Below are 27,169 nucleotides of genomic sequence, written 5' to 3' on the forward strand. Positions count from 1 at the left end.
TTATTTTGAGTGAATGAAGCCAGACAGAATAGAGTACACTCCCTATGATTCCATTCATGTGAAGTTCAAAAGAAAGTAAAACATATATATTGATTGAAATCAGTACAGTGGTTGCCTGTCTGTCATATTTTGACTGGGATTAACTATCAGAGTGAATACATTCTTTAAAGCTTATTGAATTGAACTCTTAAGATCTATGTGTTTCAGTGTATATAAATTTTACCTGAATAAAGAGACTAACACAGGAAATGTTTATAACTATACCTATATAGGTATACATATCTCAAATACTGTTTGAGTTTATTTTTCTTTTTCTTTTAAGCAAAATGTAATAGAGTAAATAGTTCGCTGGCAAACAGAAAAACAAAAGCAGCAAACAAACAAAACCCAAAAACCTCTCTGGATATTTTGTGAGATTAATGACAAGAACAATAAACTATTAAAACAACAATAACACATGACATGAAGGTTAAAAGTAATATTACATCACAATCTACTGGTGCAGCTGTCAACATGAGAACCATTTCTTACGTATAGAATCATTTGTGTATATATTTCTGAAACACTTCGTGAGAAATTGAATGATTAAGATTTTAGAACTGGTGAGAGGAAAAAAAGCTATGGCCTAAAAGCTATATATAATTTCTGGTTTAGGGCTTCAATTAAAACAAAACAAAACAAAACAAAAACATGTGGAGTGCTATTCCTCAACATGGCTGTAGAAAAATTTAACTCAAGCAAGTGCAGTGAGTGAGATCAGGCAAAACTGCAGTAAATACACACTCACCATAACTATAACTTAGTCCAAAAGGAATGAACAATCTTCTATACAAGGTAAATGAGGTGAAATGAGAAAGTTGATGACCTGTGTTTTATCATATATATATGATATATATATATATCATTCATATATATATATGAATGATAAATAATGCATTCATTATATCATCTACATTAAATGTGCTTTAGAAACAAATATATATAGGATAAATAATGCATTCATTATATCATCTACATTACATATGCTTTAGAAACAAAAATTTACTTGATATTTTGACAAACCCACCCTTCATTCCTTAGGTTAATTTCTGTGTTAATTTTTACATTGCTAATCATTGTACTGCTGTAGCTAAATCATCTGAATATCAGTTTATGCAGTGTTGCTCAAAAGATGTATAAATAGCCAGCTCTATGATTACCTAAAAACAAGCTTTTTAAAATAAAGGAAGAAAGCAACAATGTTCCAAATGAATGGCACAGGGCAAAACACATATATCAAAACATATTTAGACAGTATTCGGTGCCCATCAGTTTCTCTTATAAAGATAAATGCTTGAGGAAGATCTTGAGAGAACCCTCCCTCCCTCTAAATGTTTAGCTCCTACATGGTGTCAGATGTTACAATTGATATGAAGGATAAATGCTTTCAGGCAAAAGTAAAAATCTATCTACAAAGCAATATAGCAAAATCTGTAGTGACTTTTGTAGAAAGCTCCCTTCTCTGATGGTAATATTCTTTAGTATATATCCAGGATAGATTAAATTGAAACAATATTTCTGATACAATAGCAATACTTTCATATACTGTTACTAAATATTACAAAATTCCAAAAAATACATAAATATCCCTTGTACCATGCATTATGCACCAGTTTGGGGCTGCCTGATAAAGTCATGGCTAGTATTTTAACAATTAAACATTACAACTCAAAAATTCTGCCATCTATACACAGTGAATGGACACAATGGTGAGGGCTCCTGAGAGATGGCAAGCTACCTCTAAAGTGAAAAGTCTGTGGTGGAGTGTCTCCAAATTAAAGAGAGGGGAACATAACTTTCAACAGTGAAGTCAAAACAGATGTAAATAAGATTGAGGAATTTCTTGAAGAAGTCTTAAGCCCTCCCACGTACTTAAAGCCTTCACCAAAACACCCAGAATCAAATACTGCTGGAATGGACATCTTTGCCAAATTCTCTGCATATATCAAGAATTCAAGGCCAGAGGCTAATGAAGCACTGGAGAGGGGTCTCCTGAAAACCCTGCAGAAACTGGATGAATATCTGAATTCTCCTCTCCCTGATGAAATTGATGAAAATAGTATGGAGGACGTTAAGTTTTCTAAACGTAAATTTCTGGACAGCAATGAAATGACATTAGCTGATTGCAATCTGCTGTCAAAGCTGCATATTGTCAAGGTTGTGGCCAAAAAAATCGCAACTTTGATATTCCAAAAGAAATGACTGTCATCTGGAGATACCTAACTAACTAATGCATACAGTAGGGATGAGTTCACCAGTACCTGTCCCAGTGATGAGGAGGTTGAAATAGCATATAGTGATGTAGCCAAAAGACTCACCAAGTAAAATCGCGTTTCTGAAAGAGATGTGTTCATGTCTTGCTCTAAGAATTTGCTTTTCCTAACAGGCTACTCCTCTTCCTGTAGAGTAGAAATTGTATTTTGCATGAACATGCAATTATTGAAGATTAGGATCAAGCATAGACAAGGTATAGTAGTTATCTTAAGATATACACTCCTAAGCAGTATTATTTTAAAATCATTTTATCCCTCTAAATGTTCGAGGAAGGCATGTCTATTGTGATTTTAATGAAGACAGAATTATTTTTCTCTGTAGAAAGACAAATACTACTTTATCAGGGAAGTTAGTCAAATGAAATGGAAATTGGTAAATGGTCAAAAGCTAGCTAGGAAAAAGATCCAACAACATGCTTTAACCCCATTGCATGTTTGTGGAAAGACCATAGCTTAAAATCTTGAGAAATTTGGGACATAAAAGTTTTCATGGTAGACAGTTCATGGAGTATATGAACTGACATTATGGAAAAATCTGATTTTATTTTTACAGTTAACAAATCCATTCCTCTTAATTTAAACACCTGTTGTGTTTTACTTCGATGAAGAGATTGGAGTCTGAATAGAAAGTCTGTTTTCCGGGGGATACTGAGAAATTTTTGTATTCAGGAGTTGGAAAGCTCTCTTCCATTCTAGTTGATAAAACTTCCCTTTTTTTGATGTAGATGCAGATTTTCTATACAGTTCTGTTGTCTTCTTTTACTAGGACTGTTAACTTTTGTGATAAAATTCAAATAAGATTTTATTTCTTGATAATTTTGGTTTTCACAATTTATCTTTAAATCCTTGAGCAATCTGTATACAATTAAGAGATTTCTCACATTTATTCTTAAACTGAGTAGATCAACTCTAGGATTTAGGCATGTTAACTTTACTTCTGTTGTGTTTTGAATCTCTCCAGAGTTGCATGTAGGTAGCTTTTATTTCTGTGCGCTTACAGTCAATTAGAAAATATCTACAAAGTAGGCTGGGTGTGGTGGCTCATGCCTGTAATTCCAACACTTTGGGAGGCTGAGGCAGGCAGATCACGAGGTCAGGAGATCGAGACCATCTTGGCCAATATGGTGAAACCCTGTCTGTACTAAAAAGACAAAAATTAGCTGGGCGTGGTGGCGTGCACCTGTAGTCCCAGCTACTCAGGAGGCTGAGGCAGGAGAATCACTTGAACCTGGGAGGCAGAGGCTGCAGTGAGACAAGATCATGCCATGGCACTACAGCCTGGGTGAGAGAGTGAGACCCTGTCTCAAAAAAAAAAAAAAAAAAAAAAAAAGAAAATATCCGGAAAGTGAAAATGGAGAGGAAATAGAAATGTATTTTTAATGAACATTTTGATACAAATTTCATCATTTAATGATTCACCAATTTCTTACATTAATTTGAATTAAGCATTGAATTCAAAGAGACAGGAGCATTCATTGATATATATGGACTTTTAAAAATTCCATCCTTTATAAATAGACAAGGTTTGGGCTACAAAAATTATATTTTTATCATGGAAAAATTTCAACTCCTCAAGTCATAATGTTGAATAGAATTGGAGTATTTTCTTTAGAATTTCTTGAACAGGCAAATTAAAGCTTATTATAGAATGCAAGTATTTACTTTTCTCTTTGGAATATCAAAACCAGTGTATTGCTGACAGCTATTGTATTTTAAAAAAATGTATATTTTCACTATCATAAAGGATTCTTTTTCCTCCCTCATGAAAATAAATGACAACTGGGGGTAAATATATATATATATAATTTCTGAAGTAAAAAGAAAGATCCTCCCTTCCAAACAAATATGATCATATTTTATTCTACTTGTGATAAAGGCAGTGAGGCATTTGTTTTGGGGAATGTCCAAAATATCTATGATTTTACTTTTCCAGCCAAAACAATTTTGCTTCTCTGGCACGTATTAATCAATAGGCAAAACATTTTGAACTTTTAAATATTATTCCACATCACACTAATTTATTCTAGTTCAGAAAAATTTGGAGTGCCAGTATTTCTAGCACAATCATATTTTTAATGGGTGAACATAAAGTATTTTTCATAAGAACATAAGATAGCAGAAAATATATATTTGTTGAAGAAATAGAAATAAATAATATAAAGTTGCCAACAAACAGAAAACCAAATGACATAAGTACTAGGAACTTCTGACTAGTATAGAAGTAATTTAATATTTATATTTGGACATACACTGGCTAGACTAATTATTGATAAAGTAGTCATTGCCCATCTGCAAAATCAAACAACCATAAAGTAACATTTTGAATTGTCTGCCATGGGGCTCAAAGTCTTTTATGTATCAACCTTTGATTTAACACATTAGAGTATTACCATAGTATAATGAAAAATCTAAAAGCTTTTGAATCAGATAACTTTATAACACAGTACGTTTGTCTTTTGGTGTCTGTGTCATCTTGAAATTTATATATATTTCTGAATCTTAGTTTTCTCATGTTTATAACAACTGGGGATAATAAATTTACCTCATTTCAAAACATTTACCTTTAGTATAAAAATAAAAATAAATTATCAATATAAAAATACCATGCTTGATACTTAGGCTCTAAAATATTAGACAAATTTCCTGGCATCATAGCGCTTACAAGTAGTTGAGATAAAGGTGGAGAACAAACACAGGAACTAACTCATTAGCTAGCTCTTACCTTGAAAATTAAGTGCAGAACTCTGGGAGAATGATGCATTCAACAAACAATTTTTGAAATTGCGAAAAAGGAGAATGGGCAGAATTAAAATGCTCAGTAGAGACAGTCAGGAAGGGCAGGCCAGGGTACCAGTTCATTGCAGTAAGTGGTTGTTAAACACGGAGGTAATACACAGCAACAGAAAATAGTAAAATGGGCCAAAACTAGAAGAGTAGAGGTTGAGGCAAGAAAAACTAGACTTCTTTTACAATTTTGCCTAGGGTTGACAATGTACTTTGGGTTTCAAAACAAATAATTTCTGTCTATACTACTATACAGATGTAAATGAAATACATGTTTACTAAGCCAGTGGTATAGATTGTTCAGCATTGACCTAGTTTATAATTTTGAAACTAGATAAGGTTTTTATAAACATGCAAAAACTGAGTGCTACTTAGTTCTGCTTTCTGGCTTTTTGATAATCCAAGGAAGCAGACTCATTAAGATTGAAGTATCCAGGAAGATATATTTTCCAAAGGATAAAACCTACTTAGATGGAGAGTAGATTTTAGGCTATCACTTAATTTCTTCCTGTTAATTTTTGGCTGATAATTTTATTTTAAAGAGTAAATTTTACTACTTAAATTATTTGTACTCTACACAAAGATGGACCATAAAACACAATGCCTCATTTAGGCAGACTTCGCCATACCAGCAGCATTGTAACTCAATCCATCCATTTGTAAAGCTGTAACCACTGCTGACAGAATGCAGGGTGGGAGAGAGGAAGAAAATTAAAGAGTATTCAGATGGTAGAATAATACTAACATAAGTAGTTACAGTAATTACAAATCATTCAACCAACCACTAATGCTATTAGATGGCATGATTTATTGAATATTTACATATGTCGAACATTGTGCTCAGTTCTTCATATTTATGCCACACAATTTTCACCATATTTCTGTAAGATAAGCATCATTTCCATTTTGCCCCTTCTGCAGTTAATGCTCAGATAGCATAAACAAAATACCCAAATCTACACATATGGAGTTTGAATTCAGTTTTTTCTAACTCCAAGTTGAATATTCAAAAGCATCCTTTGATTTTATAATTTAAGATTTCTCCTTTTTCAAACACCATTTGGTGAGATAGAAAGCATTAGAGATAAAACACATATATTAATCTATGTGGTGGCTCTTTCTTCTGCTTAAAGCCATTCTCTATAATCCTCATAAAGATCTAACACCCCCACTCCAGTATTTCCTATGTTTCTTTAGTTCTCCATTATTTCCTATTTGTGCAGTATCCCACATGCTCAGGGTGTTATAAAAGGCTGCAAATTAATGAACATGTGCTGCCTTTGTTCGGGGATTTTATATTATAAATTTGTTTTTATTTATTCTACACATGGTTGGTTGTAGTTTGTCCTCCAAAATGAAATGAAATTGGTATTATTACAGAAAGATGACTGAGTCATATTATGATAGAGACTAATTTCTCTGACCTAGTAGACTAAAAGTTTTCTGTAGTCTCTTAATGAGACTCCTTTTATAGCATTTGTATCTTTGTGCTTAATTATTCTTAGTATAAATATTTAGAAATTGATGCATCGTTTTACTTCTATGGCATGTCATAAAGCTATTTTTTCAAAAAAATTGTTTTGTGTATAATGTCATGCGAAAAAGAATTCTTAAAATGATTTAAAAGATTTAGACCCCCCTCCGAAAATATCAACAAAATGAATTTTCTAAGATAATAAGAAAATGAATAAAATCCCCCCGTAGCAGCAAATAATTGGGCAAGGAATAAAATCCGGGTTTGGAGGCAGAGCTGAGGAATACAGCATGACTTGGTTCACAGAGCTTACCCTCTCCCTTGAAGTTGAATTGATGAGAACAAAATCTTGAGCCTTCTCAGAAATATTCCAAAACTGCAAGGAAGGGAACAGAATTTATTTTTCTAATTTATCTCTAACCTTGTTTCACTAAAGAGTGATGGAAATCGTTACTGTGGAGAAATGTGTGAAACATGGCAAGAAAATAGGAAGAGAAGTAAGTATCCTGTGTCCTCCTGTTCCAGGAGAAAAGCCAAACCAATATTTATCCACCTCCTCCTATCATCGGAATAGGATAAGAGCCCTCTCCTTCCCCAGTGGAATGAGTACTGGGGTATTTAACAGTACCTCAGAATTGATGGTACATCTCACGTGCAGCACAAAACCTTTTTAACTCTCAGATAAACATCCACCTGCCTCATGCCCTCAAGCTAGGGGAAAAGGAATGGAAAGCAGCCATATTTGTCTTCAAACTGAAGTTAAAAAAACAAAATCCAAAGCAGTCATCAGATGTAGTAGAAAGTCAAGAGTGTACTTACACTAAATCAGGAAATATAGCTTCTCAAGCATGAGAAAGATGAATGAAAATGGCATAGTCCATATAGAAATGTTCTATTAATTATAACAAGAACATTGATAAAGTAAAAGAAAATAAATAAAAAGAAATTAGGGACATACCATTATACGACAAAAAAAAAAAAAAAAAAAAAAAACGAGTCCAGTCTAGAAGAAAATATAACTTAGGCAAAAGGAAAACTCATTTTGTGTACATTAAAAGTATCATTCAAGAAAACTTATTCCCAGGAAAAAAATGATTTGAGGTAAATATAAACATATAATTCAATTATAGAGGATTGATTGCCTAAAGAAACAAATTTTAGGAAAAATTATTATTAAGGAACTTAACATCAAGAAACTATAAGTTGAATTATTTAGGAAGGAGTTTTGAGATAAGCCTACCTAGTGCATATTTTAAAAACATGAACCTAAAAGAATGCTAATTGAAGATATATTTCAGTATTCCATACTTTGTGTCCCTGGATCAGCAATTTACCAATAGAAGGAAAATTATAGTGGGTAAAAATGTTAAATAAGATAATAAGTAACCCCTGAAATATTTAATTACTAGATTTTAAAATAAAAAATCCAACCATGATCCAGAAAGATTTGAGAGTGCGTCTTGCAAATCAAAACGTTTTCTCTTTCCATTATTGAATCTTGAAGAAATGTTTTTAAGAAGAATTATTATTCAGATACTCAGGAAGAAAGGTGAACTAAGGTAGGGTGAGAGGTATTAGAAGTCTAGTCTTTTACCTTCTATTTCTCTACAGCAATATTTTAGACAATGGGTTAACATCTACAGATTTTAAAAAGAAAAGCATGACCCACTCTTTACAGCCAGTCGAGATGTCATCTGCATATTCGTCTCACTCACTATCTGTATATGCACATACACACACACACACACACACACAACTCCAAGAAAACATCAATGATTTTTTTTCAACTTTCTGGGTTTGTGATTTGAGGCTGTTTTTATTTACTTCCTTCCTTCTATTTGCCTGTCTCATTTACATTTCTTATCTGTCTACCTTCATTATTAAGAACACTTAATTCTTTGATAAAAACAAATGAAGTGACTTTTTTTTCCTCTTAAACAAAAATCTTCAGTTTGATGGTAAACGATTTCACTATACTTTAATATAGGGTCCTCTTATAGCATGTTTTGTTAATAAAACAAATCTATTTAAATGTATGTAACATGTCAACTATATTCTTTTAAGGTAGATGGCATTTATTAGTCCTCTTTGTGTTTACTTACAATGCCTGGCACATAGATGTACTTGATATATTATTTTTTAGTAAATAAATACATGAGTGAATGAATGAATGAAATGATAACAAACAAGCAACAATATATACTTTCCCTTCTACTTTGGTCTATGATATAGGTTTTGACAATACACAAACTTTAAATTAAAACAAATAATACAGTTTTGAATTTTTAAAACTAACACCAGCCTTTAAGAAATTGTTCATCACAAAATTTTCTTCATATTCTTGGGTATACCCATTCAAATATGGAGGTTGAGACACTATCATTTTCATTTGTCCAAAGATATTTGGCCACAGTTTTTTATATAACTGCCCTTCTGATAACAGGTTAATGAATTAGGCCTATCTTTTATGTGTTTATCATACAATATAATATAACTTTATTTTGGCTAATACTAATTTATTGGTTGTCGTTTTTCTCAGGCTTTCATGTATTCTAACTTGCACAATTTGTGGTCTTGCAAAAGTTAGCTGTACATGCACATTCTCCTCTAATCAGCACAAAATCATCATGTGTCTTTTCTAGCACTTGCACTAAAGAAAAAAGGCCTCTTTTGACTACAATAGAGACAATAGGAAGGCTCAAAGGTTGAAGACAAAAGATTCTGCAGAAATTAAAGGAAAAGCTGCTAGAGAGCATGACAGCTCTTTTTGTTATTTTCTGGGCTGTAATTTTTGAAATCAGTTTTCATTTTGAAAGTTCCTTAATTTTCTCCCACTTCAGTCTAAAATATAGCACACATGAGTACTGAAGACAGACAGCCCCTCAAAATGGTTCAATCAGGTGGTATTTGTAATGAAGCTGCAGGCTGTTGCTTGGATTTCTTAGTATCAGTCTTCATAATCTTCTATATTTAGCGGCAGAAAACTTGTAACAGTTTCTTAAGCTCAGTTCACTAAAATGAATGCAACAAATTGTTTTTGGAATTAGATATTCTCTAGGATTCCTAGTTATAAATGACTTGCTTATAGCAAATTTCCAATCCTCTATGCTTCAGTTCCTATATAGCTCTCTGGATAGATAACTCTCTTTGCAGGTTCAAGTGTCCTTTGAAAGGGATAGAAACCATCATCGTTTATTTTTGATATTAAAACAAATGCTTTTAAACTTTTTGTATTATTAAATGTGGGACTAGCTCCAAGGGAAAAGAAGAGAGGAAAAGGAAAGAGGAGAGGACAGGAGAGAAAGATTATGTTAAGGGAATTATCTATCTGTAATTTACGAAGCCTAGTTGACAGTACTTATTGTCAACTGTAATATACAGTTTCCTTCATCATTATATTAACTACTATATTAATATATTTTATGCGAGCAGACTGCTGTTGTAAATCTTTATCAATATCAGTAAAAAATTATTTTGAAATATTGATTTTAACTCACTTCCATTTGATGATGTATATATTTTAAGTACAATTATCCTGTAGTTTTATTTCAAGGGGTTCTTTGTTAGATTTTGTGTTCTGTCATTATGAGTTACATTGTGTAGCTTGACACCATTTTTTATATTCTGAATCAGTGTGTCTGGCCTGGGAATTAAATGTTTCTTAAATTTAAGAAAATTCACAAGTAAAAGAGCCTCCACCAATGTATCTTTAGGAATTTTTAAAAATAATATTTCCCAATTTCTTCCATGAGATTATCAGGTTTTATTCTTGAGTCACTTCAGACTTCTTCAATTTTATCATTTAGTCTTTATTTTTGAATAATATCTAGTTTCCTCCAAAACAGACCACTTCATTTATAATATCAAATGTGTTTTTAGAGAGTTGTTCTTTATTACCTAATATTTTTCCGATTTGTTCTCTATCAGTTTTAACAACATACTGTTAGTCCCAATTTTAGCTTATTTGATTATGAGAGATTTGAATTATTTTAAGCACTGATATAACTATTAATGTTCTATAAGTACCAGAGATACATATTAAAAGAGGCTTAGAAACAAGGTATTGTCTCAAGAGGTGGAAAGTCAAGGGTCACATCAAAGATATAGCCTGCTTTAAGAACCTCTTTCCATCTCTTCCATCTGCCATCATTATTCACTTGTCTTCTCCAAATCAAAAGAAGGCTGCTTTTTCTTTGAAAATAATTTCTGAAGAAAGGGGAAGTAGAAAAAGTAAAAGTACTGTATCTCACTGGTCAGCTTGTGGCTTGTCTATTCATACCCATTAGTTTTTAAATTTTATTTTGAGAAAAAAAAATCTGAAATTTATAAAAAGGTTGCAAAACCACTACAAATAATTTTTCTTAAGTGTAAATTTCTAACCTAATTTCACATAACTTCCTAGTAATGTAGTGTACATTTTCTACAAGTAAGTCTTCCTCCTACAAAATCCAGTATCACAAACAACATCATGAAGTTAACACTGAACTATTAATAACATCTAATCCTCGGGTCTCCTTCAGGTTTCAGCAATTATCTTGCTTTTTCTTGTTTTTGAGGACTGAAGAGGTGGTCTCTTGCTGATATGTGAATGGATTCAGTTGCTGTTAGTTTGCTTAAAATTCTCATGTTAAATTAGGTAGGCCTATAATTTTCTGGTCTTCTGAGAGCCTGTGGTTTTTATATTATTGTAATGCTTACAAAGTGTATTTTAAGGTGTTTTCTACTAGAAGATATTATATAGCATTGGTATAATTTATTATGAAAGTATTTTGAAAAACACAAACTGGTTCAGGTTTATGGTTTCTTGGTGGGTAAATATTTCTATTCAAGTATATTAAAGTTTCTAATTTATGAAGTCTAAATATCAAAGTGTCTCATTTATATATCTATTGGTTTTTATCAGTTACATTGTTTTAGATAATTTTTCATTTCATATTCATTTTCAAATTTGCTTTAAATTGTTCATACACTTTGCTTAATATATTTGTTTGCAGTGTCTTTGTTGATAGCCTTGGCATCTGACATTTTTCTTGTTCAATCTTTATAAAATTGTTTATTATATCAGTCTTTTAAAGAACTTCCTTTTTGATCTTTTCTCTAGCACTTTGCTCTATTTTGATTAATTTATGTTCCTGTTACATATTTGCCTATTTCTATTTTTCTGAGTTACTGTACCTTTCTCAGTAAATAGCAACTGTCCTCTGTTAAATGCTCAAACTCAAAACTTGAAGTCATATTTTGATTCTCTCAAAACTCACATCTAATCCAGCAGAAATCCTGTCAGCTTTGTGTTCAAAATATTATGGATGGGATAACTTTTACTTCTATGAATGATGGGATTTTGAAAGTCAGTCCTCCATGGGGAATAACTAAAAACAACCCTGATAAATGACCAAAGATATAAATATTTAAAAGCATCAGTGACTTGAACTCTATTTTGTTGAAAATAATAAAACTACACCTCTTTTCTTTGGTTTAGATTTGTAGGAATATTTTTCCATCCCTTCACTTTCAGCCTATGTATATTCTTAAAGTTAAAGTGAGTCTCTTGTAAGCAGGATATACTTAGGTCTTTTTTTTTTTCTAATCCACTTAGACTCTCTAAGATCCATTTATGTTTAAAGTAATTATTGATATGTAAGGACTTACTAGCGTCATTTTGCTAATTGTTTTCGGACTCATTTGTATTTCCCTTTTCCTTTCTTTGACTCAGGTTATTTTCCATTATGATTTGATGATCTTCAGTGGTGTGTTTCAGTTTCTTTCTCTATATTTATTTACTTTGTGTGTGTGTGTATCTACTATAGGTTTTTACTTTGTGGTTACTAAGAGGTGTACAACACCTTGCAGTTATACCAGTCTATTTTAAGCTGTAAATAAGTTAAGTTTAATTGCATACAAAAACTTGACATTTTTGCTTCTTCTTCCACCTTCAAATGTTATGCTTTTAATATCACAATATATATCTTTTATTGTGTATTTATTAATAAAATATTGTAGCGAATGTTATTTTTAGCACTTCTGTCTTTTAAACTTTATATTGAAGTTAAAAATGATTTATAAACCAACTTTACAGTATTAGAGTATTCTGAATTGACCTATATATTTGCCTTTGCCAGGATATTTTAACTTTTACATATTTTAATGTTAGTAATTAGGCTATCTACATATTCAATGAATCTCCATCAAAATTCCAATCACATTTTTCACATGAATAGAAAAAGCAATCCTAAAATTCATATAGAACCACAAACAACCTCAAATAGCCAAAGCAAAATTAGAAGAGACATACAAAGCTGGAGACTTCATACTATCTGGTTTTAAAGTATATTATAAAGCTAGTCATCAAAAGAGTATAGTACTGGCATAAATACAGACACATAGACCAAGGAAACATAACAGAAATCCCAGAATAGAATAAATTCACACAATTGTGGTCAACTAATCTTCAACAAGTCACCAAGAATACATAATAAGCAAAGAATGGTCTGTTTTAAAAATGGCGGTGGAAGCGTGATGCGTACAACTTTGTTCTTTTGGCTCAGGATTGTCTTGGCAATGCGGGTCCTTTTTTGGTTCCATATGAACTTTAAAGTAGTTTTTTCCAATTCTGTGAAGAAAGTCATTGGTAGCTTAATGGGGATGGCATTGAATCTATAAATTACCTTGGGCCATTAGTGTGGCCATTTTCATGATATTGATTCTTTCTATCCATGAGCATGGAATGTTCTTCCATTTGTTTGTGTCCTCTTATATTTCGTTGAGCACTGGTTTGTAGTTCTCCTTGAAGAGGTCATTCACATCCCTTGTAAGTTGGATTCCTAGGTATTTTATTCTCTTTGAAGCAACTGTGAATGGGAGTTCACTCATGATTTGGCTCTCTGTTTGTCTGTTATTGGCATATAAGAATTCTTGTGATTTTTGCACATTGATTTTGTATCCTGAGACTTTGCTGAAGTTGCTTATCAGCTTAAGGAGATTTTGGGCTGAGACCATGGGGTTTTCTAAATATACAATCATGTCATCTGCAAACAGGGACAATTTGACTTCCTCTTTTTCTAACTGAATACCCTTTATTTCTTTCTCCTGCCTGATTGCCCTGACCAGAACTTCCAACACTATGTTGAATAGGAGTGGTGAGAGAGAGCATCCCTGTCTCGTGCCAGTTTTCAGAGGGAATGCTTCCAGTTTTTGCCCATTCAGTATGATATTGGCTGTGGGTTTGTCATAAACAGCTCTTATTATTTTGAGATACATCCCATCAATACCTAGTTTATTGAGAGTTTTTAGCATGAAGAGTTGTTGAATTTTGTCAAAGGCCTTTTCTGCATCTATTGACATACTCGTGTAGTTTTTGTCTTTGGTTCTGTTTATATGCTGGATTACGTTTATTGATTTGTGTATGTCGAACCAGCCTTGCATCAGGGATGAAGCCCACTTGATCATGGTGGATAAGCTTTTTGATGCGCTGCTGGATTCGGTATGCCAGTATTTTATTGAGGATTTTTGCATCAATGTTCATCAAGGATATTGGTCTAAAATTCTCTTTTTTTGTTGTGTCTCTGCCCGGCTTTGGTATGAGGATGATGCTGGCCTCATAAAATGGGTTAGGGAGGATTCCCTCTTTTTCTATTGATTGGAATAGTTTCAGAAGGAATGGTACCAGCTCCTCCTTGTACCTCTGGTAGAATTCGGCTGTGAATCCGTCCGGTCCTGGACTTTTTTTGGTTGGTAGGCTATTAATTATTGCCTCAATTTCAGAGCCTGTTATTGGTCTATACAGGGATTCAACTTCTTCCTGGTTTAGTCTTGGGAGGGTGTATGTGTCCAGGAATTTATCCATTTCTTCTAGATTTTCTAGTTTATTTGCGTAGAGGTGTTTATAGTATTCTCTGACGGCAGTTTGTATTTCTGTGGGATCGGTCGTGATATTCCCTATATCATTTTTTATTGTGTCTATTTGGGTCTTCTCTCTTTTCTTCTTTATTAGTCTTGCTAGCAGTCTATCAGTTTTGTTGATCTTTTAAAAAAACCAGCTCCTGGATTCATTGATTTTTTGAAGAGTTTTTCTTGTCTCCATCTCCTTCAGTTCTGCTCTGATCTTAGTTATTTCTTGCCTTCTGCTAGCTTTTGAATGTGTTTGCTCTTGCTTCTCTAGTTCTTTTAATTGTGATATTAGGGTGTCAATTTTAGATCTTTCCTGCTTTCTCTTGTGGGCATTTAATGCTATAAATTTCCCTCTACACACTGCTTTAAATGTGTCCCAGAGATTCTGGTATGTTGTGTCTTTTTTCTCATTGGTTTCAAAGAACACCTTTATTTCTGCCTTCATTTCATTATGTACCCAGTAGTCATTCAGAAGCAGGTTGTACCTGACTTCAAACTATACTACAAGGCTATAGTAACCAAAACAGCATGGTACTGGTACCAAAACAGAGATATAGACCAATGGAACAGAACAGAGCCCTCAGAAATAATACCACACATCTACAACCATCTGATCTTTGACAAACCTGACAAAAACAAGAAATGGGGAAAGGATTCCCTATTTAATAAATGGTGCTGGGGAAACTGGCTAGCCATATGTAGAAAGCTGAAACTGGATCCCTTCCTTACACCTTATACAAAAATTAACTCAAGATGGATTAAATATTTAAATGTTAGACCTAAAACCATAAAAACCCTAGAAGAAAACCTAGGCAATACCATTCAGGACATAGGCATGGGCAAGGACTTCATGTCTAAAACACCAAAAGCAATGGCAACAAAAGCCAAAATTGACAAATGGGATCTAATTAAACTAAAGAGCTTCTGCACAGCAAAAGCAACTACCATCAGAGTGAACAGGCAACCTACAGAATGGGAGAAATTTTTTGCAATATACCCATCTGACAAAGGGCTAATATCCAGAATCTACAAAGAACTCAAACAAATTTACAAGAAAAAAACAAACAACCCCATCAAAAAGTGGGCAAAGGATATGAACAGACACGTCTCAAAAGAAGACATTTATGCAGCCACCAGACACCTGAAAAAATGCTCATCATCACTGGCCATCAGAGAAATGCAAATCAAAACCACAACGAGATACCATCTCACACCAGTTAGAATGGCGATCATTAAAAAGTCAGGAAACAACAGGTGCTGGAGAGGATGTGGAGAAATAGGAACACTTTTACACTGTTGGTGGGACTGTAAACTAGTTCAACCATTGTGCAAGACAGTGTGGTGATTCCTCAAGGATCTAGAACTAGAAATACCATTTGACCCAGCCATCCCATTACTGGGTATGTACCCAAAGGATTATAAATCATGCTGCTATAAAGACACATGCACATGTATGTTTATTGCGGCACTATTCACAATAGCAAAGACTTGGAACCAACCCAAATGTCCATCACCGATAGACTGGATTAAGAAAATGTGGCACATATACACCATGGAATACTATGCAGCCATAGGAAATGATGAGTTCATGTCCTTTGTAGGGACATGGATGAAGCTGGAAACCATCATTCTCAGCAAACCATAGCAAGGACAATAAACCAAACACCACATGTTCTCACTCATAGGTGGGAATTGAACAATAAGAACACTTGGACACAGGAAGGGGAACATCACACACCGGGGCCTGTCATGGGGTGGGGGGAGGGAGGAGGGATAGCATTAGGAGATAAACCTAATGTAAATGACGAGTTAATGGGTGCAGCACACCAGCATGGCACATGTATACATACGTAACAAACCTGCACGTTGTGCACATGTACCCTAGGACTTAAAATAAAAAAATACAAAAAAATACAAAAAATAAAAATGGTGGTAGAAAAACTATATTCTTGTGCAAAATAATGAAATTGTACCCTTAATTTAAACCATACAAAAAATTAGTACAAAAGAGACTAACTGGTGTGAGATGGTATCTCATTGTGGTTTTGATTTGCATTTCTCTGATGGCCAGTGATGATGAACATTTTTTCATGTGTCTATTGGCTGCATAAATGTCTTCTTTTGAGAAGTATCTGTTCATATCCTTTGCCCATAGAACTGGAAAGGTAAAAAACAAACTAGAAGAAAACAGGGGAAAAGCTCCTTAACATTGGTATTGGTAACATTTTTTTAAAATATAACACCAAAAGCACAGGCAGCAAAAACAAAAATAAAGTGGAATTGTATCAAAGTAAAAAGTTTTTTTTTTTCTTCTTTTTTGTGATGGAGTCTGACTCTGTCACCCAGGCTGAAGTGCAGTGGCACAATCTCAGCTCACTGCAACCTCCTCCTTCCAGGGTCAAGTGATTCTCATATCTCAGCCTCCTGGGTAGCTGGGATTACAGGTGCATGCCACAACGCCTGGCTAATTTTTGTATTTTTAGTACAGACAGGGTTTCACCATGTTGGCCAGTTTGGCCTTGAACTCCTGGCCTCAGGTGATCTATCCGCCTCAGCCTCCCAAAGTGCTGGGATTACAGGCATGAACCACTGCATCTGGCCCAAACTAAAATGTTGGTACAAAGTAAAGGAAATGATCAACTAAATGAAAAAGTAACCTATGGAAAGGGAAAAATATTTGCAAACTATATATCTGGTAGGGGAATAGTGCCCAAAATATATAGTGAATTTATGCAAATTAATAGTAAAAAGCAAGTAACCAAATTTAAAAAATACACAAAATACCCGATTAGACATTTTTTTCCAAAGAAGACACACAAATGGCCAAGAGGTACATGAAAAAGTGCTCAACATCACTAATCATCAGGGAAATGCAAATCAAAACCACAATGACATATTGCCTTACACCTTTTAGGATGGCTATTATCAAAAAGTCAAATGATAACAAGTGTTGGCAATGGTGTGAAATACAGGGAAGAGTTGTACATTGTTGGTAGGAATGTAAATTGGTACAACCATAATGGAAAACATTATGGAGGTTCCTCAAAAAACTGAAAATAGAACTGCCATATGATCCAACAATTCCACTTCTCGGTATATATCCAAAAGAAATTGAAATCAGTATCTTGAAGAGATAGCTGCACTCCCATGTTCATTGCAGCATTATTCATAATGGCCAATATATGAAAACAACCTAAGTGTTCCTCAGTAGTTGAATGTATAAAGAAAATGTGGTGCGTATATACAATGAAATATTACTTGCCGTAAGAAAAAAAGGAAATTCTGCTGTTTGGGACAATATGGTGAACCTAAACGACATTATGCCAAGTGAAATAAGCCAGACACAGAAAGATAAGTACTGCATGGTCTCACTTTATATGGGATCAAAAGAAGTTAACTCACAGAAACAGGAGTAAAATGGTGGTCTCCAAGGGCTAGAGATTGAGGGAAATGAAGGAATTTTGTTCCAAGGGTACAAATTTTAGTTATAAAATGAATGAGTTCTAGAGATTTGATAGACAGCATAATGATTACAGTTAATAACAATGCACTGTAAACTTGAAATTTACTAAGAGAATAGATCTTAACTGTTCTCACCACACACACAAAAGGTAACTATATGAGGTAATGGATACATTAATGAGCTTGAGTGTGGTAGTCACTTCACAATGTATACACGTATCAAAACATCGCATGATACATCTTAAATATAAACAATTTTTATTTGTCAATATATATTTATTTGATAGGGAAAAATAAAAAAGATTCAGTGAACGGTGGAAGCAATGAGGACTATAGGAATAAAAATTACAGATAGGAAATAAGTTTTTAGCTGTGAGCTGGGAATTTGCATCCCCTTGGGGTCATTCTAAACCGGAATGCAGTTTTGGAATCTGAAATAGGACAAACCTACTGACAGACAGGATCCTTATGAAAGACAGAAAAACAAGAGGAATTTTTGATGGTCCCACAGTGAAGAGTCACAAAATTGGAGCACTGGAGAATCATTCACAGAGAAAATTTATCCTTCCATATTTTTTGTTAAATTTTGAAGCTGTGATAGATAGGAGGTAAAAACAACTAGAGATGAATTTCTTGCAGTCTCACAGGATTAATGAACAAAAGACCCATTTACAGTGATTCCTCAGGGATCTAGAACTAGAAATACCATTTGACCCAGCCATCCCATTACTGGGTATATACCCAAAGGATTATAAATCATCATGCTGCTATAAAGACACACGCACATGTATGTTTACTGCAGCACTATTCACAATAGCAAAGACTTGGAACCAACCCAAATGTCCAACAATGATAGACTGGATTAAGAAAATGTGGCACATATACACCATGGAATACTATGCAGCCATAAAAAATGATGAGTTCATGTGCTTTGTAGGGACATGGATGAAGCTGGAGACCATCATTCTCAGCAAACTATCGCAAGGACAAAAAAACCAAACACTGCATGTTCTCATTCATAGGTGGGAATTGAACAATGAGAAACATGGACACAGGAAGGGGAACATCACACAGTGGGAACTGTTGTGGGGTTGGGGGAGGGGGGAGGGATAGCATTAGGAGATATACCTAATGCTAAATGACGAGTTAATGGGTGCAGCACACCATCATGGCACATGTATACATACGTAACAAACCTGCACGTTGTGCACATGTACCCTAAAACTTAAAGTATAATAATTAAATGAATTAATTAACTTTAAAATAAAACATTTTATTAAATATGAAAAAAAAAAGAAGAAGAATCCATGGGAAAAACAGGGAGGGGTGTAAAGTTCTCCAGGGAGTGGTGAAGCAACTGAAGATTTCTTACCATTTTTCCATGAGGATAGTTGCTGATCTGGACCTTAATAGAGGCTGAGAATCAGGATCAGGACTTGCTAGATGGCTATTTACCAGGAACAAGAATTTATGAGAATTTGGATTCCCTGTATAAGGTTAGGATGACAAAATACAATTAGGTTATTTTGCCCTGACTTTCAAATTCATAGTGTTGTAATAATAAAATATATATTCATTTGTGCCTGGCTTCCTTTGTGCAACCTAGTGTTTTAGAGATTTATTAAGTTATTTATTATATCAGCAGTTTGTTCTTTTTAATATGATTGCTCAGTGTTACTTTGTATGAATATACCACAATTTGTTTATCTTTTCTGCTGTTGGACATTTGCATTGCTTCTAAGTGTTAGCTGTTATGAATTAAGCTCTATTAGGTTATTGTACATGTGCTTTGTGATTATATGCCCAGATTTATCTGAGTATGCACTTAGAAGAATTGCTATGTGACATAGTAGTCTATGTTTTATTTCAGTAGATAGTGTCAAAGAGTTTTCTAAAATGATTGTAAAAATGTTCCTTTCCACCAGCAAAATTCTGCGCATTTTCACTGACACTTAGTATTCATTATTTTTTACTTAAACATTCCGGTGAATGTGTAATTATAATCTTAGTTTGAATTTAATTTGCATTTTCCTGATGAATAATGATAGTAATGTAGTTGAGTTCCTTTTCATATATCTTTGGTTTGAATATGCTACTTTGTGAATTGCCTGATCATCTCTGCCATTTTAAAATTTGGATTGTTTACCTCTTCCTGATTGTTTTGTAGGAGTGTATTATGCATTCTGGATATAAGCCTTTTACCAGATTCTTGTATTGTAAATATTTTTTTCCAGTCTGTGGCTTGCTTATTCAATTCTTAATCATGATTTTGAGAAACAGAAGTTTTTAATTTTAATGTAATTCAGTTGAGTTTTATATTTGTTGTCATTGCTTTTCCTGTTTAAGAAACCTTTGCGTAATCCTAAGTCAGGAATATATTCTGTTTTTTTTTTTCCCCACACAAGTTTGACTGCTTTAATTTTAGATTTAGGTCTAAGATCAAATTCACATTTATATTTAAGAATAGTATGAAGTAAATCTCAAGGTTCATAATTTTTCCATATAGATAACCAAACATTCTACTGTCACTTACAGAAAAGTCCATCCTCTTTTGCTCTAATTAGGTGACTATATTGGAGTGACTGGAAATATGTGGGTATATTTCTAGGTTTTCTTTTCTGTCCATTGGTCTATTTGTCTAACAATGCACAATTAACTCCTCAATTAATATAACTTTATCATGTCTTGAAATTTGAGAATATAAGACCTCTAATGTTGTTCTTTGCTATTTAAGATTGTCTTCGTTTTTTGGGGGAACTTTTGTTTCTATATAAGTTTTATGATCAGCTCATCAATCTTCACCAAAAAAATTGCTGACATGTTGATTGCAACTATATTAAATTTATAGATCAATATTTAGTAATTTGGCATCTTAACAATATTGAACTTTCATAAACTTTCTAATGTTTTAAGTATTCTTTAGTTTCTCCAAATAACATTTCAACATTTTTAGAATAAAAGTCTTGTATATCTTTTACTGCATCATTACTATGTGAATTTTTATGAAATTATTAATCATATTTTAAATTTTTATTTATAATTGTTTATTGTTGGCATATACAAACACAAATAAATTTTCTACATTAACCTTGGATCCACCCAACTTCTTTAATCCATTTTTGAATTATAATGGTCTGTAGATTATTTTGAATTTTCTACATGAAATTATATCATCTTAGAATAAAAATTTACTCTTTCTGTATTAGTACGTATTACCACAATAATACTATGTAGAAAGTTGACTTTAAACTCACTGTTCTAATAATTATTCATATTGTGAATTTGAAAATCAGAGATTTAGGTTTGGTGGGATTTTTGTTTGTTTGGTTTGTGTTTTGTTTGTTTGTTTGTTTGTGTCTTCCTGAGTTACATTTTCTGTCTACAGTTGGCTGGCTATGCAGTGAAGCTCCATATGTCCCACATTCATTCTTCAGAATAACTTGGGCAAGTTCTCATGGTGAAAGTAGAGGTGCAAAGGTAAACAAGTCCAATTATCTAAGTATGTGCGAAGTCTCTATTTGTGTCTTGTTTACAAACAGCACGTGGCCAAAGCTATGAATCACAACATTAAGGGCTGAGTAAAATTTCCTGCCCAGACTTGGACAGTACTTGAAACTTGTATACGAAAAGAACAGATATAAAGAGGGGAGAAAGAATTTGGGCTGAAATTCAATCTATCACACTTTCCCAACCTAATAGCTCATATTTCTTTTTGTTTGATGAGTTAGTTCATCAGTACAATGCTGATAGGAAGACTGATAGTTAACATTTATGTCGTGTTTCTATATGTAATAGGAAGGATCTGGAGTACATTTTTGATGAATATAAAATTTTAAGTTTATGGTTTTCTTCTTTCAGCTCTTCAAGCATTTTTTCCTACTGTCTAATGAACAGTCTGTATTAATTTTAGTTTTGTTCCTGTCTTTATAAGTTTACCTGTTCTCTCTTTTTCAAAATAAACTGTTAATTTTAGAGCCATTTTAGATTTACAGAAAAATTGTGAAGAGAGTACAGAGTTGCCATTACCCCCATAAATGCAGGTTTTTCCTGTTTTAACATCTTACATTAGTGTGGTAAATTTGTTACAATTAATTAGGCAATATTTATACATTAGTATTAAATACATCCATATTCTATTCAGATTTTGTTCATAATGTTCTTTTTTGTTCCAGGATTTCATCTGAATACCAAATTACTTTTGGTCATCATGTCTTCTTAAGCTCCTCTTGGCTGTGACACTCTCAGACAAGAATTTTGATAATCATGTTTTTATAACCTTGACAGTTTTCTAGAGTACAGTCAGGTATTTCCCACAATGAGAGTTGTATGATGCTTTCCTATAATTAGACTGGGATGATGGGGATACATGGAGGGAAGGCACAGAAGTAAGGCATGGAGGTAAATCATCGTGGAAAAGCTATTTTATCACAGTATGCCAAGTGTACATAACATTGTAGATGTAAACCATGATTACCTGGATGAGGTAGCAATTGCAGATTTTCTTACTGTAAAGTTATTCTTTTTCCTCCCTTGTTATATAGCACCATTTGGAAGCAAGTCACTACGCATAATTCACAATTGAGTAATAAAGATTTATGCTTCACCTCTTTGAAGGTAGAGTATCTACATATATTATTTGACATTCATCTCTATTTGTTCAGTCATTTATTCATATCAATATGGATTCATGGATAATTACATGGGTACTTTATACTTTGGCTTATAATACAATACCACCTTTTATTTTACTGTTCAGATGTTTCCAGCTTTGGACAATGGGAGCTCTTTCAGGTGACTCTTAGTCCCTTTGACATAATACATCATTGTGTTTAGTATGTTTGTTTCACTTTTTAAATTTTTCTTCATTTTCAAACACTATAAGATGCCAAAAACTCATCTTGCATATTAACTGCCCACGTCTTAGAATTAGATATTTCTCTAAGAAGCCCTGATTCCTTTTGTTGGTAGTGTCAGTCCTCCAAATTTGTTCTTCTTCATTATTAGGTTGATTATTTATTCTAGGTCTTTTATCTTCTCATATAAACTTCACAAAAAATTTTCTACTTTTTCCATTAAAGCCTTTAATATATTAATTATAGTTCATTTTAATCCCCTCTCTGATAATTTCATTGTCAACTTTATATCTGCATCTGGTTTTGATACTTTTTTTCTCTTCAGAATCTGTTCGTTCTTGCCTTTTGCCATGTTTAAAGTCAGACATGATGTATCAGGTAATAAAAACTGAAGTACACGTTTAGTGTAAAGGTTTTTGTTAATCTGGGTGCTTTAAACTGTATTTAATATCTGATGGGCTGTGCTTAATGTGTATGCGTCTGCAGGTGTCAGAGGTTTCAAATTTCTCCAGTGACCTTATTTTTGTGTCACTGGTTGACTTGGGCTTCCCTCAGTATTCCTCCTCAAATAATCTTTGTCTCACAACTCTTTTAGCTGAAATACAATGTATTATTTTAGAGCCCTGTTTTTTTGGTGGTAAGTTGTGAAGGAGAGGAAGCATTCTGTAATATTAAAATTAAATTTTGCTATTTTATTGGGCCTGTGCTCCTGGCTCTGACCTTCACAAGTGTTTCTTAAATTCCTTCTTTCACTGTGCATGAAACAGGAAGGCTCAAGAGGGTTGCAGTGAGAGTAAGCCCATTCCTCCAAGTAGGATAAAGCTATGGCAAAGCTTTATCCTGTGGACAGTAGGCGTTTGTAATAGAAGGATGCTGTTAGCTTATTTCTTTTTCCCTTCTTCTGCTAGAGCCACAAAAGGATCTTTTTCAGATCTTCACTATGAGGTCCTGGTAGGGTTCCTGGAGGTAAGACACACAATGTTCCACCTGCCCTTCCACTCCCCCTGCCTATTGCAGCCCCAGCAGTTTCTCATTCTTAAACTCATCTGCAATCAGCCATCAACATTTCATCAAAATGACCAATTAAGTGTATTTATCAATTTATGGCTCCAGTGGTTTTCACTCCAGGTAAGAAGATTTGTACTGTGACTCTTGATTCACATGTCTCTACATTTTGTGGTGATAAATTTTATCCTGCAAATAATTTCTTCTCTGATGAGTCCGAGAAAACTCACTGATTTTCAGTTTGTTGAGTTTTTTCTTTGGTGTAGAGATGAGAGTCACAACTTCCAAACTCCGTGTAGGAGCTGAAGTCAGAAGTATTTATTGCTTTAAAGATTTTGTAGCACTGTTTTCTAGCAATTTGATTATGGCACTACTTAATGTGGTTTTCACTGTGTTTATCCTCCTTGGCGTTTAGTAAAATTATTAAATAAGTAAGGTTGGAGTTTTATTTAAACCTGGAAACCATAGATGTTATTTTCTTCAAAAATTTTATGCTTGTCTTCCTTTTTTCTTGTGTTCTAAAGACCCATATGTTAGACCATCTGATACTACATACACTTGAAGCTCTGTACAATTTTTTTCAGTCTTTTTTTCTTATTTTTGCAGTATCTATTCTAATGTTAAATGTATCCAGTAAATTTTTTATTTTTTTCACTCTAGAAGTTCTACTTTGTCCTTTTAAAATAATTTTTATTTTCCTTCATTATTTTCTTGTATAACTTTACATTTTGAGCACATTAAACATAATATTTGTTTCAAAGTCTTTCCGTGATAATTTCATTGTTTGATTTTCTACTGGGTAAGGCTCACATATTTCCACTTCTTGTCATCATTATACCTATTTTACGGGAATTGCAATATTTTGAATGTATGTTGCTGTGTGTTAGGTCTGTTGTCTTCCTTTAAAATGTTGGATTTTGTACAGGCATGCAGCTGTTACTTGTGGATCAATTTGATTACTTGCAGGCTTATTTTAAAGCCTTTTGTAAGAGCTCATTTGGAATAGTTCTTACTCTGGGGATGGGTAATCCCTACTACCATACTATAGTTCTTTTCTGGTTTCTGCTGAATGTACTGAGTGATCAACAAATATTCACTCCGCCTTTCCAGAGCTCAGGTGGCTCACAGCACTATGAAAGCTGAGAAGTTTTTACCTTTCTGCTTACTAGGGGTCGTTTTACTAATCTTAAACTTCCACCTCATCCATGCATAGCTTAGTATTCAAGGGGATCCCTGTACAGATTTCTAGGGCTTGTTTCCTTAGTAATTCCCTCCCCTCTACAGCATCTCCCCAGTTTTTAGTCATTTCACCCTCCCTCAAATCTGATCCCTGTTTTCTCAACTCAACATATCCACTGCGCTCTATTTGTCGTCCATTTAATATCATGGTTAAGTGTGGTTAAGAATTTTTCTCTAGAAATAAAGCTAGTGGGATCCTGGGGCTCACCCTGCTTATGTGGCTTCTCTCAGTGACTACAGTCTTTTGCTGCTTGCTGTCCAAATTCTAAAAAAATTTCTGTCCTGTATTTGTTCAGCTTTTTAATTGTTTTGGTGGGAAGGTAAATTCAACCATTTTACTTCATAATGCTCACAAGCTAATTTTTACTTTATGTGCTGCCGAAGTGAACACTCCAGAAGCTAATTTTAAAATCAAACTTAAGTAAAAATAAAGGAATTATTGACCATCAGCTAAATATTTCTTTATTATATGAGGTTCTATCTTAAAAGCAATTTTCTCCCTAAGGTAAGAAATGAGATTATGAAGAACAGTAAGTGGTTGTAATCTCTTTTCTTTTTCCTTTTTTAATATGGTGTTTCAAATTTAAACAATATCTCTTCACTTTGATATGAAAAATAAGGACATTAGATCCTTTGCCTCATGCCCTTAGTTTATTAATTCCATTTTATATGTTTCATAACATTAACTTTGATTATATAGCCACAACTTGAGAAATTATCTTGTATCTGTTCTCTATTTAAATGGAATCACATGTCATCTACAATCATTTTATGATGGCTTTCCATTCCACTATTATTTTGACTTCTTATTTACCTTTTAATTAGCTCAAATTTATCACTCCTGGGTTTTTGTTTTGTTTTATTGTTTATAAGAAAGATTCATGCTATATTACTCATTATTATTCATGGGGTTGTTTTTTATAGTTGAGCATCTACAACTTTATCCTCACACCAGAATGAGGTTTGAGCTGGATCACAATTGGTTGTCTTTAGAACTTGGTAAATACTGCTTTTTCTTGATGTTGTGTGTCTGATTTTACTTTTTTAAAATACTGTACTTTTTGATTTACAGATACAGTTCTTTCTTCACTATAGGAGAAATTATCATAAGTATTTAAATGTATCTGCGATTTCATTTAATGACTTTCCTACTTCAAACGTAACTATTTTCATTAGGCTTATCTATATTCTGGATTTATCAGGTTCTTTCTGAATGGCCTAATTGATTTGCCTTCTTTATCTACATTGGTTAGAGTTATTCCAATCTTTTTCTCTATGATGAGAATTTCAGAAGTAACTAAAGTTTTGGCTGTGTTTATTTGTCAGTTTGAGATTATTGTTCTTTAGTGATTTTCTATGTTTTTGCAAGTCTGCAATCTCAATTAAATATACCTTTCAATCCTATGCTTAAAGTCGAAGCTTACTAAATTAGTCATACCAAATTATTCTACATTTTGCAGTGATTGGATATAACTCTTGATTCGTGAATATTTTCTTCAGCACTGTGTACTTCGTCTACCTTTTTGCATACTATGCTCTTGCTATTTGTTCTTGTTTGATACTTATGAAGCACAATTGCCACACCATTTTTTTCTTATATTGCTCACTTTTGGGCAGCAGTTTTCACATTCTCTCTTCTCACTTTTTTTTTTTACATCTCTCAAGAGAGATGTAAAAACATTTCCTTGAAATAAACATTAAATTTTAGTTTGTTATTTTGTGCAGTATTTCCCCTTGTATAGCCTAATGGTGGTGGACTGTGGAAAGACTTTACCAAGAAAAGATGAGTTGAAATGTAAGCATTTATTTTTAGAATATCTTAAATCCATTCTAATTGCTTTTGTTTGTTTTGTTTATTAAAGTCCCGTACCAAGGTTTTGTTCATCTACTCTGGGGGGAAGATCCCATAACTGTGAGAGAACATTTTCAAGCCATGGATTATTTCTGTAGCTTTGTGTGTTAAGTCTAAGACTACAGTTTTGTCAAGGAAACATAGTCCCATGGTTTACTTCTCCCCCTTCTCTACCTCCCTCCATCTCTCAGAACTATTCCTTTATATCATTATGTTAAACATATAAAAAGACTGTGGTTTTTTGAAAATGGCACTTGATTGTGAAACAAGAGCTCTAATTTGAAGACCTGCTTTTGACACT

General features: G+C 33.4%; 1 long non-coding RNA gene and 1 pseudogene across 1 annotated transcript in view; both read left to right on the forward strand.

Moving 5' to 3' along the window:
• The window catches only part of LINC01239 (long intergenic non-protein coding RNA 1239), a 178,014-nt gene that overhangs the window by 99,671 nt on the left and 51,174 nt on the right, over positions 1-27,169 (forward strand). The gene's annotated exons all lie outside the window — the stretch shown is intronic.
• Positions 1,831-2,561, forward strand: CLIC4P1 (chloride intracellular channel 4 pseudogene 1; annotated as a pseudogene).

The sequence above is a fragment of the Homo sapiens genome, chromosome 9 (assembly GCF_000001405.40).
Source record: "Homo sapiens chromosome 9, GRCh38.p14 Primary Assembly".
Lineage (NCBI taxonomy): Eukaryota > Metazoa > Chordata > Mammalia > Primates > Hominidae > Homo > Homo sapiens.